At 43.0% G+C, this 20,088-nt stretch overlaps 1 protein-coding gene across 26 annotated transcripts in view; it reads left to right on the top strand.

Moving 5' to 3' along the window:
* Positions 1-20,088, top strand: part of USP54 (ubiquitin specific peptidase 54) — a 128,444-nt gene that overhangs the window by 97,129 nt on the left and 11,227 nt on the right. For 18 of the 26 annotated variants that reach the window (NM_001391951.1, NM_001391947.1, NM_001391948.1 and 15 more), the window contains 5 exons: positions 2,073-2,206; positions 5,103-5,270; positions 7,826-7,945; positions 8,861-9,056; positions 11,106-12,478. In NM_001391951.1, coding sequence (NP_001378880.1) covers positions 2,073-2,206; positions 5,103-5,270; positions 7,826-7,945; positions 8,861-9,056; positions 11,106-12,478 — 1,991 coding nt within the window. The remainder of the gene's footprint in view (positions 1-2,072; positions 2,207-5,102; positions 5,271-7,825; positions 7,946-8,860; positions 9,057-11,105; positions 12,479-20,088) is intronic. The other 8 variants (NR_146998.2, NR_146997.2, NR_165443.1 and 5 more) reach the window with 2 other exon arrangements.

The following is a 20,088-nucleotide window of genomic DNA, read 5'->3' as shown; positions in this document are numbered from 1 at the left end:
TGTATCTCATAACATCATGTTGTATACCTTAAATATACACAGTAAAAAAATGTATTAAAGAACAGATTAGGTCAGGCATGTTGGCTCACGCCTGTAATCCCAGGCTAGCACAAAAATTAGTGAGGCATGGTGGTGGGCGTCTGTAATCCCAATTACTTGGGAGGCTAAGGCAGGAGAATCGCTGGAATCCAGGAGGTGGAGGTGGTAATGAGCCGAGCTCGTGCCATGGCAACTCCAGCCTAGGCGACAGAGCAAGGCTCCATCTCAAAAAAAAAAAAAAGAAACAAAAACGGACTAGGCCTGCCGCAGTAGCTCACGCTTGTAATCCCAGCACTTTGGGAGGCCGAGGCGGGTGGATCACGACGTCAGAAGTTCGTGACCAGCCTGGCCAACATGGTGAAACCCCGTCTCTACTAAAGATACAAAAACAAAAATTAGCCGGGCGTGGTGGTGGGAGCCTGTAATCCCAGCTACTTGGGAGGCTGAGGCAGGAGAATTACTTGAACCCAGGAGGTGGACGTTGCAGTGAGCCAAGATCGTGCCATTGCACTCCAGTCTGGGCAACAGAGTGAAACTCCATCTCAAAAAAACAAACAAACAAAAAAAGAATGTATTAGTGGGCCAGGCGCGGTGGCTCATGCCTGTAATCCTAGCACTTTGGGAGGCCGAGCTGGGTGGATCACAAGGTCAGGAGATCGAGAACATCTTGGCCAACATGGTGAAACCCCGTCTCTACTAAAAACACAAAAATTAGCTGGGCATGGTGGCGCGCACCTCTAGTCCCAGCTACTCTGGAGGCTGAGGCAGGAGAATCACTTGAACCCGGGAGGCGGAGTTTGCAGTGAGCCAAGATCACGTCACTGCACTCCAGCCTGGGTGACAAGAGCGAAACTCCATCTCAAAAAGAATGGATTAGTGAATTAAAACTTATGTAATACTAAAATCAGAGAAGAAGCCCAAATGTTATTTTGGGACAGTGTTTTGTTGTCGTTGCTTTTTTTTTTTTTTTTTTTTTGGTATCGATGGGGTTTCATCATTTTGCCCAGGCTTGTCTTGAACTCCTGGGCTCAAGTGATTTACCCACCTCAGCCTCCCAGAGTACTGAGATTATAGGTGTGAGTCACCACACCCAGTATGGTGGGATAGTTTTTATTTTGATTTGTTTTAGGGTCACTGGGACTTTGTGTTTTATAATGCTAATAATATTCATAATAATGATGACAGTTTATTAGCACTCATTGTACCCTGCCCATAGGGCTCAGTTTGCTTTATAACTTTCAAATCTCCATACATTATTTTTACTGAGTTGCCACAGAGGCAATTTTTCTGTTTTCTTTTTTTTTTTTTTTTTTTTGAGATGGAGTGTCTCGCTCTGTCACCAGGCTGGAGTGCAATGGCACGATCTCGGCTCACTGCAACCTCTGCCTCCTGGGTTCAAGCGATTCTCCTGCCTCAGCCTCCCTAGTAGCTGGCACTACAGGCGCCCACCACCACACCCAGCTAATTTTTGTAATTTTAGTAGAGATGGGGTTTCACCATGTTGGCCAGGATGGTCTTGATCTCTTGATCTCATGATCCGCCTGCCTCAGCCTCCCAAAGTGCTGGGATTACAGGCATGAGCCACTGTACCTGGCCAAGGCAATTTTTCTAATAGTAGAGCTGCTTTGAAAAGCATGATTATATCTTCTACAAAGGTGATAACCACATGTTCATACTCTGTCAATGTTCTTCCCTGTCCACAGGATCCTGTTGAGTTTTACTTATGAGAAGATGCTACAAAGGTTTAGTAAGAAAGAAGGAAATAAATATGAAACCAATATGTTCATTAGTACATTCAACAGATTTTGAATATGTATTATGTACCAGATACTGTGCTAGATGCACAAGTTGTGAATGAGGTGAGATGAGGTTAGATAGGAGAATGAGTGGATATTTCAATTCTTCAGAAGTAGTTTAGCAGAAGCTCTAATTGTGTAGTTTGATTTTTTTTTTTTGAGAGAGAGATTTAGTCCTAGGAATGTTGCTATAACCTGCTTTCATGCTTTCACTAGACTCTGAGTTCTCTTTTGAAGGGATCCAAGTGCTAAGAGATCAGCTGGGTTGGTTCCTTCCTGGCGTCATATCCCAAAGTCGCACAGCAGTAGCATCCTGGAGGTAGACTCCACAGCATCCATGGGTGGCTGGACAAAGAGTCAGCCTTTCTCTGGTAAGCAGAATGACACTGAATTTGAGGACTGGATTTGACCGGCAGTTTTGTCTGGGGACCAGACTTACCTGAGCACATTTGAAATTAGAGGACAGTTACAGGCCGGGCGCGGTGGCTCACACCTGTAATCCCAGCACTTTGGGAGGCCGAGGCAGGCAGATTGCCTGAGCTCAGGAGTTCGTGACCAGCCTGGGCAACATGGTGAAACCCCGTCTCTACTAAAATACAAAAAATTAACCAGCGTAGCGGCGTGCACCTGTAGTCCCAGCTGCTCGGGAGGCTGAGGCAGGAGAATTGCTTGAACCTGGGAGGCGGAGGTTGCAGTGAGCCAAGATCGTGCCACTGCACTCCAGCCTGGGCGACAGAGTGAGACTCCATTTCAAAAAAAAAGAGGACAGTTACAGTTTGAGTATTCCATCAGAATGTAAATGTAGAGTCATTTCAGTTGCTCCATCTTTGGATTTATCTATTTTTTGTTCTCCATCACAGCCTGCATGAATATTTCTTTCTACCTGGAGGGAGCCCTTGTGGGAGCAAGAAGGGACAGAAATATGGTGAACAGTGTTACTAACATCCCCATTCTTCAGAAGAATAAATCCTAGGGCTTTCCTTGGATTAGGGACAGCCTCTTGGGAAATGGATTTCTTATTGTTTAGTATTATGAATTGACATACCAAAGGGGTACATGTGGCTATTTGCAAAACTTGGAAATAAGCAATTCAAATTTATCCTTACCCCTGGCTAAATATCTTAGTCTTACTACCAATTCTCTTGATAGTTACTGACAATTCTTAGAGGTAGCAGGAAGAAAGGCCTGCAGCAGCAGTAGTAAAAAGGCATGAACCCTTTTAGGTATGTATACTAAAGGTTGTGGACATCTGGCAGAGCAGAACAATGCCTATAGAGGCAGATATCTCTGGAATCCTGGGCTCTAGTAAGTTATAGTTAGAGACACGTGGAAGACATTTGGGCTTCCCATTGTAATTATACATTTGATTTATTCCCCACATTTTAATTTATTTCATGTTGAATAACATTGTTTCAAGAAACTTGTGAATCGTGCATGAGACTATTCTCCCTTCTCTTCAGATAGCCAGCATTTTTTTAATTACACTAATGACTGAGTCTCATGATCTCCTGAATAGTCCTCAATTCTGGACCAGTTGGATAGAATTCACCAACAGCGTTCTTCAACTGGTAAAAGATAATTAGCAAGGAGTTATGACAAGATTCTTCACACACCATATCACCCCACCATCCTGTTTGTATAATAAGCCCTATTTATGCGCCACAATTTGATCTAACCATTTTATTAAGACACAGAACAAACATTCTTATATGGTAACTTTGCATACTCCTTTAAAAAACTACAGGGGTAAATCAAGTCCAGTAATTCAATAATCTGCCCTTTGCCTCCTGAAATTGAAGGAGCCAGTGTTACCATTGCGGTATATATCTTTCTGTCTTTTTCTATGCTTACACAAGTACATAGATAAGTTTATGTACATATATATATAGGTAAGCACCATTTTTAAAAAGATGAAGTCATACTATGCATGTTATTCTCTCAATTTTTCACTTAATTTATTATGGACATCCTTCTGGATCTATTTAGATCCATCTAGAAAGGTTTATAAAATTGGACTTATACTGCTGTGGACATTTTACAAATTCAAAGAGGTGGTGGAAATTAAGGGTGAGAAAATGACATTCTTGAAGCTCCCCAGTCAGTCAGTGACAGCACCTGGTAGAAAGTGTTCTCTAATGATTAGAGCATGATTATGAATTTAACCTACTTGACTTTAATTTAGCTCCATTATTTCCCATTTGGTTTACCTTGGGCAAATTATTTATCCTCCTGTGACTCAGTTTCCTCATTCCTAAAATGGGGGTAATAGTATCTACCTCATAAGTTGTTGTTATGATTAAATGAAATAATACATGTAAACATGCTTAAAACTGTTTCTGGCACATAGTAAGTGCTGAACAAATGTTCAGCGTAATACTATTGTTGTGAAGCACTCCATAAATGTTGTTGTTGTTGTTGTTATTATTATTATTATTTTGAGACGAAGTCTTGCTCTTGTCTCCCAGGCTGGAGTGCAATGGCGCGATCTTGGCTCACTGCAACCTCCACCTCCCGGGTTAAAGTGATTCTCCTGCCTCAGCCTCCCGAGTAGCTGGGATAACAGGCGCCTGCCACCAAACCTGGCTAATTTTTGTATTTTTAGTAGAGACGGGGTTTCACCATGTTGGCCAGGCTGGTCTCAAACTCCTGACCTCAGGTGATCCTCCCGCCTTGGCCTCCCAGAGTGCTGGGATTACAGGCGTGAGTCACCATGCCCGGCCTGTTGTTATTATTATTATTATTCCTGGCCCAAGTGCCATCCGGAATCTAATTATGGAAAGCATTATCCAAAATATAAGCTCCAAATTGGGCCAGGCGCAGTGGCTCACACCTGTATGTAATCCCAGCACTTTGGGAGGCCAAGGTGGGTGGATCACGAGGTCAGGAGTTCGAGACCAGCCTGACCAACATGGTGAAACCCCGTCTCTACTAAAAACACAAAAATTAGCTGGGCTTGGTGGCATGTGCCTGTAGTCCCAGCTACTCAGGAAGCTGAGGCAGAAGAATCGCTTGAACCCGGGAGGCGGAGGTTGCAGTGAGCCAAGATTGCGCCATTGCACTCCAGCCTGGGAACACAGTGAGACTCCGTCTCAAAATAATAATAATAATAATAATAATAATAATAATAATAATAATAAATAATAAATAAATAAACTCCAAATTGAAAGCAAGAATTCCAAAAGGAAAGTATTGCAGTGGTCATAAATTCATCAAGTACTTAGTCTTGGTAATGGAAATGTGGTGACTTCTCCCTTGCTTATATTACAGGTGAGGAGATATCTTCTAAAAGTGAACTGGATGAATTGCAGGAAGAGGTGGCCAGGAGGGCGCAGGAACAGGAACTTCGAAGAAAACGGGAGAAGGAGTTAGAGGCAGCGAAAGGGTTTAACCCTCATCCTAGCCGCTTCATGGACTTGGATGAACTGCAGAATCAGGGTAATTGTTGTGAGCATTAGGTTGTGGGTGATGGGGACAGACAGAAAGGGTAGAAAAAAACATCTAAGCTTGTAAGTTCCCTGTCTTCTCTTTAGCAAAATAATTTTTTAAGTCTTAATTCACCCATTCCAGTGAGAACAAGTTAGAGTAGGATGTGACAAGACTATTGACTGGAGATAGGCACTGATTTGGGGCACATCTATTAAAAGCCTATAGATTAGAGATAGTATATCGTTCATGAATAATGTTTCCCATGAACATCTGTTGAAGGTGTAAATAAAACTAGCCTTGAGTCAGAAATAGCTGAAAATGGCAGTGAGCCACACTGACAGTGAGGGGAATTCTACTTGCTGGGAAGAAACATACCCATGAAATATTCCACCTGGAGCATCAGGGAAGTGGATCTGCCAAACAGGAGCAAGAACAAAGCCAGTTTACTTTTGATACCATGACAATTGATTCTGTAACCTCAAACAATTTGCATGGACTTTACTTCCACAACTGCCCCATGTTAGACTTTTTTTCTTCCTAGAATTTTTTTAGGATGTCACTTTGTACCAAAAGAGACTAGCCTTCAAAATAGTTCAGCCAAGCTGAAGTATCTACCTTAAATAGGCCATATATCTTAGTTTTTTTCCTATAAAATGACTTTATTGTTTTTATAATTCGGAAACCCCACTTACAACAAATTGTGCTAAAGCAGTATGAAGGTCCCAGTTTGTAAGTGCAAGCTTTTAACTTTGCTGGCTGTTTTCTGTTGACCACTTTTCTCTTTTTATATACACTTAGAGAATCTTCTTGGGCCAAGTAATCCTGTTTGGGGGCAGCTTTTTTCCTTTAATACTACTCTCTTTTGATTCAAGGTAATTGTTGCCTTATATTTCCCAAGACATTGTATTAGTTTCCAAATTAGTTTTAAATTCCTAATACTTAGCTGTCTCTATATTTGGATAGTCTTTTTTCCCTTTTTGACCTCAAGCTGTATCACATTGGTGTCCCAGGTTTATTTTGCTTCTGAAAAAAGGGGTCTTGTCATTTCTCTCCTTTTTTTCTCTCTCTGCCAGTTGGGCAATAGATTAAAGTTAGGAGGAGATCCCACTGGCAATATTTCATTGTCAGTTCTCTATACACTGTGGTTCAGCATTTCCTGCATGAGCAAGGAATGGAATGCTAAGATTCTGAAGGATAAGAATTAAAATTTAGTACAGTGATTGATCAACTATAGCTTGTCTAGATCTCCATAGAGTAGAGAACTTAAAAAAAATGGCTCTACGCCCTACCTCTGATTATAAAGGTTGTATACATTTAGTTGATTACAAATATTATGAGAGAACTTCAGGTCTGGGGAGTAAGGGAAACCACACCTCTAGAGATAGAGTGGATCCTGAGTGCCAAGTTCTTCAGAACCAACCTGCTGTTTCCATTGTCTTCCCATTGCTCTCAAAAAGTCATGATGAATTAGGAAGTGAATGTTAGGGATGTGGAAGAGCCTTTCTTACCATGTCCTGCTGGAGGTAAGTGGAGGATGAGGGACATTATGGGAGAAGTGACTCAGACATTTTTTTTTCCCTGCAACCTTGTGAAGGCTCACTGGCAATCCCATTTGTAGGTGAAATTACATTACAGCTTGCTGCCAATGTATGATTATGAGTAAGTAGAGGGCAAGGGATACATAAACATGAGAGTTCTTTTACAAAAATTTTTCTGCCTGTACTTCCTAGCCTTTTCATCCGGTATTGTTTTTAGACTCTTCTGCACCTGCTTTGGCACACATTCACTTTGAGAGGAGGATGGAATATTCCCTGCTTGCTGTATGGGAAGGTGACTTCTTTGGGGGTAGTTTTGGTGAGGAATAGCATGATGAAAGTAAATACTTAGCAACGCTTATGACAAGTATGTATATGCAAACCAGGAATGAAGGCAGTTCAACTGCCCTGGCAGATACATTGGATTAGGAAGTGTAGACCATCTGTGACCAAGAAGTGCACTGATTTTCCAGTTTAGGGTGGTGCATAGAGGACTGTGAATTGGTGAAGTAAATAAGTGGTATGAATGGCTGTCCACAGAATAATGAAGCTACCTTTGCCATAACATAGCAGTGAACGTCTTAGTTGACATCTAGGGTGTTCTGACACTAGTTGGCAAGAATTGCACTGGGAAAGAGCAGTTCAATTCCGGGCATAAGAACCTAACCTTCTGCTATTACTTTGTTCTTTCCTTGAGGGACTTCCTCCGCTCGCACTGTCATATAAGTACCGCGCGCTAACCGATTGCACCACTGGAGCTCCTTCCTTGAGGGACTTCCTAAGGGTCTTGGTGTTAGAATATGTGGCCATTAATGGCATGCCTCTCTTTCATGGCCTTGGTAACATCTTGGTTAAGGCAAAATGGATGTCCTGCTTGTTTTCAGATAATTCTTAATAGGAATAGACAGTTGGAATAAGGGTAGACCAGTGGCTCAGCAGCAAGGATCTCTGTGTACTGAAGGGAAACAACAGTACACAGGAAAATTTGGAATGAATTGTAATGAAAATGAAAAGTGCTGGCCCTTTCAGGGAGGAGTGACGGCTTTGAGAGGTCCCTGCAAGAGGCAGAGTCAGTGTTTGAAGAGTCACTACATCTGGAACAGAAAGGAGACTGTGCTGCAGCTTTGGCTCTCTGTAATGAAGCTATCTGTAAGTAACTCTAACTGCTATGGCTGTGGCACTTTTGACTAACTTCACAATAGGTATTATTAGTGTTGTCACTCAGACAGGATAAAAACAGTTTTTGTGTCTCCTCACTCTTGCTCTCCCAAACTGAGTCGCGTTAGCTGTTTTTGCCCTTTGATTTCTAAGTGTACCTGGCACTGGCACTGTGGCCTATGGATATTTACCAGAATAACCTCAGCAAGGAATCCATAGATGATTTCTCCAGTCATGCCTACCTTCTTATTTCAGGATAAAGTTAGACCTCAGATGTGAAATTAGTCTGCTCTTTTGCTAGTCACTGGCTAGTGGGTTGGAGCTTATAGAAGGAAAACTGAATAAATTGGCTATGACTTCCCAGGCCTGTGACTTTTTAATTCAGTATTTGATTCTTTCTGATTCTCCCCTACCTTCATAGTATGCAGCACCATAAACTTACAGCAAGAGACTAAGGCTTAGAATTGGTATCAGCTTCTTGTATGTGACCCACAAGAAGCTGTGGTCTATAAAGACAGATGCAGGTTTGGATCTTATTTCTGCTGTTGGCCATTGGGAAGAGAGGGGTGAGAGTAGAGTGTGGAGACCAGAGTCAGACAGGTCAGATGCAAAGGACAAGAGTGGCAATCTCTAAGATGGAGGCACTGGTTTATCTTCTTGATTTATTTTAGTTTTGTTTTTTTAATTTGGATTAACCTGTTTGGCCTCCATGGCTTCCATCAATGTTCCTTATAGCCAGAGGCAGCTGTGTGCCCTGGACAGCATATGCATGGTCCATGCCTTGCGTTCCTGCTACATATTTTGAGTTTTACTGCATATCTTTGCTCATTTTTTTTCAATTTTATTCTTTTTATTTTTATTTGTGTTTTGTGTTCTGTTTCTGCTATATTTTCTTTTGCATTTTAGCTAAACTAAGACTTGCCCTGCATGGTGCCAGCTGTAGCACGCACAGCAGAGCCCTAGTCGATAAGAAGTTGCAAATCAGTATTCGAAAAGCACGGAGCCTGCAGGATCGCATGCAGCAGCAGCAATCACCACAGCAGCCGTCGCAGCCCTCAGCCTGCCTCCCAACACAGGCGGGGACTCTCTCTCAGCCAACAAGGTAGTGCTTGGGAACCATGTTAGTTTATGAATGCCAGGGGAAGAAATGACCATGAGTATTCTGTAGCAAGAGCTCTCATTGTCTTGGCGACTGAAGGGGAGAGAGGAGTCCTCTGAAAAGATTTTCTTCTTTCAGGTCAGACATACAGTGAAAAGCTCATTGTACTGCTGGTCCTTATCTTAATAATTCCTAGGATGCAAAAAGTACAGCATAATAAGACCATTTGTCCACATTTCCCATGGGTAACTTTAGCCCTGGACTTGTGTAATAACGCGATTATTATATTTGTATATATTATGTTCTTAGACATGGCAATCCAGGCTACATTTCATGTTGTAGTAGCTACCATGTGATTTATTTTGGGATTTCAGTGCTTCCTATCCTTATGGAAGCAGAGAAAGCAGTCTTTCTTGCTCTGATTGCACCATAGAGAAGAGACACAAAGATTCCCTTTGCTTTGCTTCTTTATGGTCAGGACTAGGAAAGAAGTTCCAGTAGTCATTGTTGTAGTTCTCACATCTTAGCCCTGGAATTTGGCTTTTACTTAGAATAGATGAATTTAAATAAACATTAATTTGGACCGTTAATAATTCTGAGTAGTTTTCAAAATATAAATTAGTAAAAGCAGTTAACATTTTTTTTTTTTTTTTTTTTTTGGAGACAGGATCTTGCTTTTTCACCCAGGCTGGAGTGCAGTGGCACGATCACAGCTTACTGCAGCCTCAACCTCCTGGGTTCAATGTTCAAAAGGCAAATGTTCAAAAATAGTTAACTGCTAGGCATGGTAGCTCACGCCTGTAATCCCAGAATTTTGGGAGGCCGAGGAGGGCAGATTATTTGAGTCAAGGAGTTTGAGACCAGCCTGGGCAACACGGTAAAACCCTGTCTCTACAAAAAACACAAAAAATTTAGCTGGGCATGGTGGTGCATACCTGTGGTCCCAGCTACTTAGGAGGCTTGGGTGGAAGAATCGGTTAGCCCGGCAGGTCAAGGCTGCAGTGAGCCGTGATGGCACTGCCACACTCCAGCCTGGGTGACAGAGCAAGACCTTGTCTCAAAAAAAAAAAAAAAAAAAAAATTGCAGGTCTATTTGATGCTAAAGCACATGTCCTTAACCATTATGTAATATTGCCTTGTATGATTGGGCTTCCCATATTAGTAAATCATATTCTCCATAATGTTATAAGGGTGACTGGGTGACTATATCCTCAAAAGTTGATAGTATATTTTCATTCAAATTTAGGGGCTTGTTTTGAATATAAGCAATTTAGATAGGTAAACCGTTTCCAGAAAACGTATACATCCTGATGTATGTGAGTGATCGAGGCTTTATTTAAGTCCTTGTAACATTAAGTTTTTAAAGTCAGAAATACAAAACAATTAGTGAGAAACCAACTAAATACAGTTAATCCCTACTCCTACTCCTAAATCTCAAGAGAGTCATATTGCTTTGGGGAAACATCTCAGTGACTAATAGAACAAAATCCAGATTATAAAAACATATTTGAAATGGTTAATTTCTGTGTATTCCCATGAGCCCAAATCACCCTGTATTTTGTAAATGTGGCCTCATAGTTCCTTTGGCCGGGCTGCCTCTCAGGACCCCAGGTAGGACTTGCCTCCCTGTATAGCATCCTGGATTTTTGCTGTTTGGTATGAGTGATTTTCAGGCTTTGCTTACCTTCCATGTCATCTGCATGTGAGACTAGCTGATTTTGTTTCCTAATTTGCAAGTAGAATGTGATTGGAATGCGACTTCACAGGTAGTGAAGAATATTGGCAAGGGCTCCACTTAATGTTACTGTGCAACTTTGGTGAGGGTGTTTAATAAAGAGGATTAACGTTACCTATTTACCTGAGTGTGAGCTGACCATGTGCCTTTTCTTTTGTGATCCTCTGAACTACTGACTCTACTTGTGCTTGTCTTTCTGTTTATTTTTACCATTCCCTGTGTGAATAGCTAGAAATGGGAATGGAATGTTGAGTTCTTTCTGTAAGTGTTCCTGTCAGTCAAGGCAGCTTATGACTAGCTCTCTCCATTTGTTTCAGTGAACAGCCTATCCCGCTCCAAGTATTGTTAAGCCAAGAGGCCCAACTGGAATCCGGCATGGATACAGAGTTTGGGGCCAGTTCTTTCTTCCATTCACCTGCTTCCTGCCATGAGTCACACTCATCACTATCTCCAGAGTCATCTGCCCCACAGCACAGCTCCCCCAGTAGATCTGCCTTGAAGCTTCTGACTTCGGTTGAAGTAGACAACATTGAACCCTCTGCATTCCACAGGCAAGGTTTACCTAAAGCACCAGGGTGGACTGAGAAGAATTCTCATCATAGTTGGGAGCCATTGGATGCCCCAGAGGGTAAGCTGCAAGGCTCTAGGTGTGACAACAGCAGTTGCAGCAAGCTCCCTCCACAAGAAGGAAGAGGCATTGCTCAAGAACAGCTGTTCCAAGAAAAGAAGGATCCTGCTAACCCCTCCCCGGTGATGCCTGGAATAGCCACCTCTGAGAGGGGTGATGAACACAGCCTAGGCTGTAGTCCTTCAAATTCATCAGCTCAGCCCAGCCTTCCCCTGTATAGAACCTGCCACCCCATAATGCCTGTTGCTTCTTCATTTGTGCTTCACTGTCCTGATCCTGTGCAGAAAACTAACCAATGCCTCCAAGGCCAAAGCCTCAAAACTTCATTGACTTTAAAAGTGGACAGAGGCAGTGAGGAGACCTATAGGCCAGAGTTTCCCAGCACAAAGGGGCTTGTCCGTTCTCTGGCTGAGCAGTTCCAGAGGATGCAGGGTGTCTCCATGAGGGATAGTACAGGTTTCAAGGATAGAAGTTTGTCAGGTAGTCTAAGGAAGAACTCTTCCCCTTCTGATTCTAAGCCTCCTTTCTCACAGGGTCAAGAGAAAGGCCACTGGCCATGGGCAAAGCAACAATCCTCTCTGGAGGGTGGGGATAGACCACTTTCCTGGGAAGAGTCCACTGAACATTCTTCTCTTGCCTTAAACTCTGGGCTGCCTAATGGTGAAACTTCTAGCGGAGGACAGCCCAGGTTGGCAGAGCCAGACATATACCAAGAGAAGCTGTCCCAAGTGAGAGATGTTAGGTCTAAGGATCTGGGCAGCAGTACTGACTTGGGGACTTCCTTGCCTTTGGATTCCTGGGTGAATATCACAAGGTTCTGTGATTCTCAGCTTAAGCATGGGGCACCTAGGCCAGGAATGAAGTCCTCCCCTCATGATTCCCATACGTGTGTAACCTATCCAGAGAGAAATCACATCCTTTTGCATCCACATTGGAACCAAGACACAGAGCAGGAGACCTCAGAATTGGAGTCTCTGTATCAGGCCAGTCTTCAGGCTTCTCAAGCTGGCTGTTCTGGATGGGGGCAGCAGGATACCGCCTGGCACCCACTTAGCCAAACAGGTAAGAATGCAACCAGGGGTTGGGGGGAGGGGGGAGGATCATATAAAAGCTGAAAGCAGGGAAAGATCAGAAGGGAGTGTTCTATACAGATACTATCCCCAGCTTAGTAGGAGGTAATAGAACTTTTGACTTTACTCAGAAAGCCTTCAGGACAAGACCTAGACATTTTTCTGGCTAGAGTGGAGGAAGGGGCAGAATTACCACTCATAGGCAACTTCCCTCCTTCTAAAGTAAGAGATTACTAAGTATTTGCCCATGGCTTCTCCAGTATGCTGTGCTAAAGAATGGTTCAGGGCCGGGCACGGTGGCTCACTCCTGTAATCCCAGCACTTTGGGAGGTCGAGGCGGGCAGATCACAAGGTCAGGAGATCGAGACCATCCTGGCCAACATAGTGAAACCCCTTCTCTACTAAAAATACAGAAAATTAGCCGGGCGTGGTGGTACTTGCCTGTAGTCCCAGCTACTCGGGAGGCTGAGGCAGGGAAATCACTTGAATTCGGGAGGCAGAGGTTACAGTGAGCTGAGATCGCACCACTGCACTCCAACCTGGGTAACAGAATGAGACTCCGTTTCAAAAAAAAAAAAAAAAAAAGAATGGTTCATAGGTGTTTGAGAGTGATTCAGCATGACAGCATGAAATGGAGGGAGGCTGAGAGGAAAATATATTCTTCTATGGCTTAGAATCCCAAGATTCAGCCTCCAGGTCTGCTTTGCAGTAGGATGTCCATATGCTCAGTGTGGACATTTCCAGATCATACTGAACCAGCAATATCAAGACCTTCCTGATCCCTTTAGGAAAAGTCAAGTTTGGTGTTCAAGGAATTTTTAATGTACTATATGCCTACAGGGTAGCCACTGACTGAGATAATACAGAGTGAAGAGTAGAGCCTGCACCTGAAGTGCACATCATAGTCAGTTCTGGAAATTGAAGACATGAAGAATGTTTGTAACTTACATTGATGCACTTAACTCCAAAGCCTGAACTATTTTCCTGATTCCAACATTAACTCTCAGTATAAATTTGGACAAGTCACTTAATATCCCAGGGCCAAGGTTTTACCTGTAAAATGAGAGAACTGGCTTTTTTTTTAAAAAAAGATATGTTCTAACTCTAAAATGGCATGTATGATTCTGTGAAATTGAACTTGGAGAACTTTTCCTTAGCTTGGCTGTGACAGTTTCTGTAATGGTGCAGGTTCCTTGCATGCTGACAACCAACATATAATTACAGTTGAGTAAGTGTTTATTGAGTACTTACTGTGTTCTCCAGAGCCTTTGAGGGGAATACCACATAAATATAAGATTTGATTTTTTATTCATTTTTTTTTTTTTCTGAGAAGAGTTGCACTCCTGTTGCCCAGGCTGGAGTGCAATGGCGTGATCTCAGCTCACTGCAACCTCCGCCTCCCGGGTTCAAGTGATTCTCCTGCCTCAGCCTCCCAAGTAGCTGAGATTACAGGCGTCCACCACCACACCTGGCTAACTCTTGTATTTTTAGTAGAGACAGGGTTTCACCACGTTGGCCAGGCTGGTCTTGAACTCCTGACCTCAGGTGATCCCCCCGCCTCAGCCTCCCAAAGTGCTGGGATTAAAGGTGTGAGCCACCGTGCCTGTCCTAAGACTTGATATTAAGATACATTTCTGAGGATCCGTATCCTAATGTAGATTTTACAATAACATTTACTAAGGTGGTCTTTGATAGGACTGGTTGATATGGGAAGAATCTAAAGAATAAGGGAAAGCTGGAGTCTGCCTCAGTGAGCTTTCTATCTAAGGAAGCAAGAATACACAAATAATTTTTTTTTTTTTTTGAGACAGAGTCTCGCTCTGTTGCCCAGGCTGGAGTGCAGTGACGTGATCTCAGCTCACTGCAACCTCTGCCTCCTGGGTTCAGGCCACTTCTCCTGCCTCAGCCTCCCGAGTAGCTGGGATTACAGGTGTGTGCCACCACGCCCAGCTAATTTTTATATTTTTAGTAGAGATGGGGTTCACCATGTTGGCCAGGCTCATCTCGAAGCCCTAACCTCAAGTGATCCACTCGCCTTGGCCTCCCAAAGTGCAGGGATTATACACGTGAGCCACCGTGCCAGGCCACAAGTAATTATTTTAAGAATAATAAGGCCAGGCATGGTGGCTCATGCCTGTAATCCCAGCACTTGGGAGGCGGAGGTGGGCGGATCATGAGGTCAGGAGATTGAGACCATCCTGGCTAACATGATGAAACCCCGTCTCTACTAAAAATACACACAAAAAAATTAGCTGGGCACGGTGGCCCACACCTGTGATCCCAGCATTTTGGGAGGCCGAGGCAGGTGGATCACCCAAGGTCAGGAGTTCAAGACCAGCCTGGCCAACATGGTGAGACCCTGTCTCTATTATAAATACAAAAAATTAGCTGGGCATGGTGGCGGGCACCTGTAATCCCAGCTATTTGGGGGGCTGATGGCAGGAGAATTGCTTGAACCCAGGAGGTGGAGGTTGCAGTGAACTGAGATTGTGCCACTGCATTCTAACCTGGGCGACAGACCAAGACTCTATCTCAAAACCAAAAACAAAAAAAAATTTGTATTACCCAAAATAGCAACATTTTTCATTGCAGGTAGTTTGAAAATACATAAAGTATCAAAAATCACTGATAATCTCACTCTTAATGTTTTCATAAGCTTACCTTTGGTTTTCATTTTTATACACATGTACTATATAGTTTTGTTTTTGCAAAAAGCAGTATCCTTTACACTATATGTATACAGTTTAGTATCATGACTTTCTCATGTTATATCTGTGAGCATTTGCTGTAAAAACTACCTTTAATGGTTATAAAGTGTTTCATATGAATGTACTGTAATTTATTTCTTCAACCATCCTACTATTGTTGAATATTTAGGTTACTTACAATTTTTTTTTTTTTTTTGAGGCAGTCTCGCTCTGTCATCCAGGCTGGAGTACAGTTGCACAACCTTGGCTCACTGCAACCTCCGCCTCCCGGGTTCAAGCAATTCTTCTGCCTCAGCCTCCCGAGTAGCTGGAACCATAGGCGTGTGCCACCAAGCCTGGCTAATTTTTTGTATTTTTAGTAGAGAAGGGGTTTCACCATGTTGGCCAGGCTGGTCTCGAACTCCTGGCCTCAAGTAATCCGCCTGCGTCAGCCTCCCAAAGTGCTGGGACTATAAAGTGAGAAGTGACTATAAGGTGAGCCACCGCTCCTGGCTTACTTGTAATTTTTAATAACATAGTACTGTGTTGAATATCTTTGCACTTAAGTGGTCACGTTTCTCATGAGCTCCTTAGAATAACCTTTTAGAAGACTAATAACTAGTTGAATGTTATAAACTTTTTTTTTTTCATTTTTGAGACAGGGTCTCATGTTGTTGTCTTGGCTGGAGTGCAGTGACATGATCACAGCTCACTGTAGCCTTGACCTTCTTGGCTCAAGAGATCCTCCCACCTCAGCCCCTTGAGTAGTTGGGACTACAGGCATGCACTACCATACCTGACTAATTTGAATGTTATAAACTTAAAAAAAATATTGATACATACTGGCCAGTTAGCTTTGAAGAAGACTATACTTCTGAAAACAGTATGAAAGAGTACTTACTGACCATTAATTTTTTTGTCTAGTAGTGTAAAGAAACAAATTTTTAAAAATCTATCTAGTAGTCAATCTATTCTCAATATATTTATCAAATCAAGCGGAGCATGATGACTCATGCCTGTAACCCCAGCTACTTGGGAGACTGAGGCAGGAAAATCACTTGAGGCCAGGAGCTTCAGGCTGTAGTGTGCTATGAGCACATGCCTGTGAACAGCCACTCTCCTCCAGCCTGGGCAACACAGTGAGACCCTATCTCTTAAAAAAAAAAAGTAAAATCAAACTAGTCTTTATTTTTGTTAGAGTCCTTGGTTTAAAAACTGAGTCCTTAAGAAGTGACATGACAGGCTGGGTGCAGTGGCTCACACCTGTAATACCAGCACTTTGAGAAGCCAAGGTGTGAGGATCACTTGAGCCCAGGAGTTCAAGACCAGCTGGGCAACACAGTAAGATCCCCATCTCTACAAAGACTGAGAAAATTAGCTGGGTGTGGTGGTGCGGGTCAGTAGTCCAGCTACTTGGGAGGCTGAAGCAGGAGGATCAACTGAGACTGGGAGGTTGAGGCTGCGGCGAGCTGTGGTCATGCTACTGCGCTCCAGCCTGAGCAACAGAACAAGACCCTGTCTCAAAAAAAAGAGGAGTGATATGACATAGAATAAAGAAGTGATCAGATAGAATTAATTGGGAAGTAGATGAAGGAAAATGCCAATTAGGATTCACATATGAAAAAATATAATTTGGCCAGGTGCGGTGGCTCACGCCTGTAATCCCAGCACTTTGGGAGGCTGAGTCGGGTGGATCACCTGAGGTCAGGAGTTCGAGACCAGCCTGACCAACGTGGTGAAACCCCATCTCTACTAAAAATACAAAAAAAATTAGCCGGGTATTGTGGCACGTGCCTGTAATCCCAGCTACTCGGGAGGCTGAGGCAGGAGAATTGCTTGAACCCAGGAGATGGAGGTTGCAGTGAGCCGAGATCACGCCACTGCACTCCAGCCTGGGTGACAAGAGTGAAACTGTCTCAAAAAAAAAAAAGAAAAAATATAATTTGAGAGTTCTTTATCTTATTGTAAAACATTTATTAAGCACCAAATTACATTACTTTTTAAAATTTATTTATTTTTTGAGACAGAGTCTCGCTCTGTTGCCCAGGCTGGAGTGCAGTGGCACAACCTCAGCTCACTGCAACCTCCGTCTCCCAGGTTCAAGCGATTCTCGTGCTTCAGCCTCCCAAGTAGCTGGGATTACAGGCATGTGCCACCACACCTGACTAATTTTTGTATATTTTGTAGAGACGGGGTTTCACCATGTTGCCCAGGCTGGTCTCAAACTCTGAGCTCAAGCAATCCACCTGCCTCAGCTTCCCAAAGTGCTGGGATTACAGGTGTGAGCCACCACGCCCGGCCACCAAATTAGTTTTTCAAAAAATGCTAAAAAAAAAAAAATGCTTTATTGATATGTAATTTACATGCCATACATTTCACCTATTTAAAGTGTACAATACAATGGGTTTTATTATATCAGAGTTCTCCATCCATCACCACAATCAGTTTTAAAGTGTTTTCATTTGAGGTGGGAGAATCGTTTGAACCCAGGAGGCAGAGGTTGCAGTGAGCTGAGATTGTGCCGCTGCACTTCAGCCTGGGCAACAGAGGGAGACCCTGTCTCAAAAAAAAAAAAAAAAAAAAGGTGTTTTCATCAGAAACTTTGTACCCGTTGGCAAATCACTCTTTATCTCCTCCTTTTCTTCCCCCAACCCCAGGCAACCACTAATCTATTTTCTTTCTCTAGAGATTTGCCTGTTCTGGACATTTCATATAAATGGAATCATGCAGTATGTGGTCTTTTGTAACCAGATTAATTTTGACATAATCGTAGTTCCTAAAGTGTTATATAAACACTGCTCTTGACCTATATTCTGAATTTCATTGTACTTTGAACTTGGGCAGACATCATCTTATAGATATCTAAAAAATAAAAAATTAACTTTTGTTATGGGAAATTTCAAATATATTCAAAAGTAAAGAATAAGAGTAGGCCGGGCACAGTGACTCACACCTGTAATCCCAGCACTTTGGGAGGCCAAAGTGGATGGATCACTTGAGGTCAGGAGTTTGAGACCAGCCTGGCCAACATGGTGAAACCCAGTCTCTACCGAAAATACAAAAAATTAGCTGGGCATGGTGGTGGTGGATGCCTGTAAACCTAGCTACTCAGGAGGCTGAGGCAGGAGAATCACCTGAACCCAGGAGATGGAGGTTGCAGTGAGCTGCCCATTGCACTACAGCCTGGGCAACAAGAGCAAAACTGCCATCTCAAAAAAAAAAAAAAAAGAATAAATGTTATAATAACCCTCCAGGTACTTATAACCAGCTTCCATAGTGATTATCTTGCACAGTTATCAACATATGGCCAGTTTTTGTTTTATTTTATTTTATTTATTTATTTTTTAGACGAGGTCTCGTTCTATCTCCCAGGCTGGAGTGCAGTGGTGCAGTCTCGGCTCACTGCAACCTCCGCCTCCCGGGTTCAAGTGATTCTCCTGCCTCAGCCTCCCAAGTAGCTGGGACTACAGGCACGTGCCACCATGCCAGGCTAATTTTTGTATTTTTAGTAGAGACGGGGTTTCACCATATTATCCAGGATGGTCTCCATCTCCTGACCACGTGATCCGCCCGCCTTGGCCTCCCAAAGTGCTGGGATTACAGGCGTGAGCCACCACACATATGGCCAGTTTTGATTTAGCTATACCTCCCCCACTTTCCTTTCCCCTCTACATTATTTTATTTTATTTTTTGAGACAAGGTCTTGCTTTGTTGCCCAGACTGGAATGCAGTGGTGTCATCAGGGCCACTGCTGAGGTCCTCCCACTGCAGCTTCCTGAGTAGCTGGGACCACAGGCACACACCACCACATCCGACCAATTTTTGTGTGTGGTTTGGAGCGACAGGGTTTTGCCATGTTGCCCAGGTTGGTCTCTACCTCCTGAGCTCAAGTAGTTTACCCGCCTCAACCACCCAAAGTGCTAGGATTACAGGCATGAGCTACGATGCCCAGCCTCCTCTAGATTATTTTAAAACAAATCTCTGAATCTCTGATATTATATTATTTCATTCATAAATAATTTGGCATGTATCTCTCAGAAATAAAGATTTTTTTTTTTTTTTAATGAGACGGAGTCTCGCTCTGTCACCCAGGCTGGAATACAATGGCGTGATCTCAACTCACTGCAGCCTCTGCCTCCCAGGTTAATGCGATTCTCCTGCCTCAGCCTCCTGAGTAGCTGGGATTACAGGCACGCGCCACCACGCCTGGCTAATTTTTGTTGTTTTTTTTTTTTTTTTTGGTAGAGACAGGGTTTCACTATGTTGGCCAGGCTGGTCTTGAACTCCTGACCTCAGGTGATCCACCTGCCTTGGCCTCCCAAAGTGCTGGGATTACAGGCATGAGCCACTGCACCTGGCCAGATTCTTTTTTAAAAGACAAACCAATAATATTATTATACCTAAAAAATTAACAATAATCTCTTAATATAATACCTAGCCAATATTCCAGTTTTCTCAGTGGTCCCATAAATGTCTTTATACAGTTGTTTTATTTCAAGTCAGGATTCAAACAAGACACACATATTGCATTTTGATGATAAGGCTCTTAAGTCTTTTTTTTTTTTTTTTTTTTTGCCAGTATGATACCCTATGTTTTTTCCCCCTCCATTTATTTGTTGAGGAAATTTGGTCATTGTCTTTTAACATTTCACACATTGTAGATTTTGCTGATTATAGTCTAAGTCCTTAAGAAAAAAAAAAAAAAAACATGTTCTGGCCGGGTGCACTGGCTCACACCTGTAATCCCACACTTTGGGAGGCCAAGGTGGGCAGATCACGAGGTCAGGAATTCAAGACCAGCCTGGCCAACATGGTGAAACCCCGTCTCCACTAAAAATATAAAAATTAGTCGGGCATGGTGGCATGCACCTGTAGTCCCAGCTACTCGGGAGGCTGAGGCAGGAGAATCCCTTGA

This window comes from Homo sapiens, chromosome 10 (genome assembly GCF_000001405.40).
Source record: "Homo sapiens chromosome 10, GRCh38.p14 Primary Assembly".
NCBI lineage: Eukaryota > Metazoa > Chordata > Mammalia > Primates > Hominidae > Homo > Homo sapiens.
Note: the sequence above shows the minus strand (reverse complement) of the source record. Positions and strands in the feature narration are given on the sequence as shown.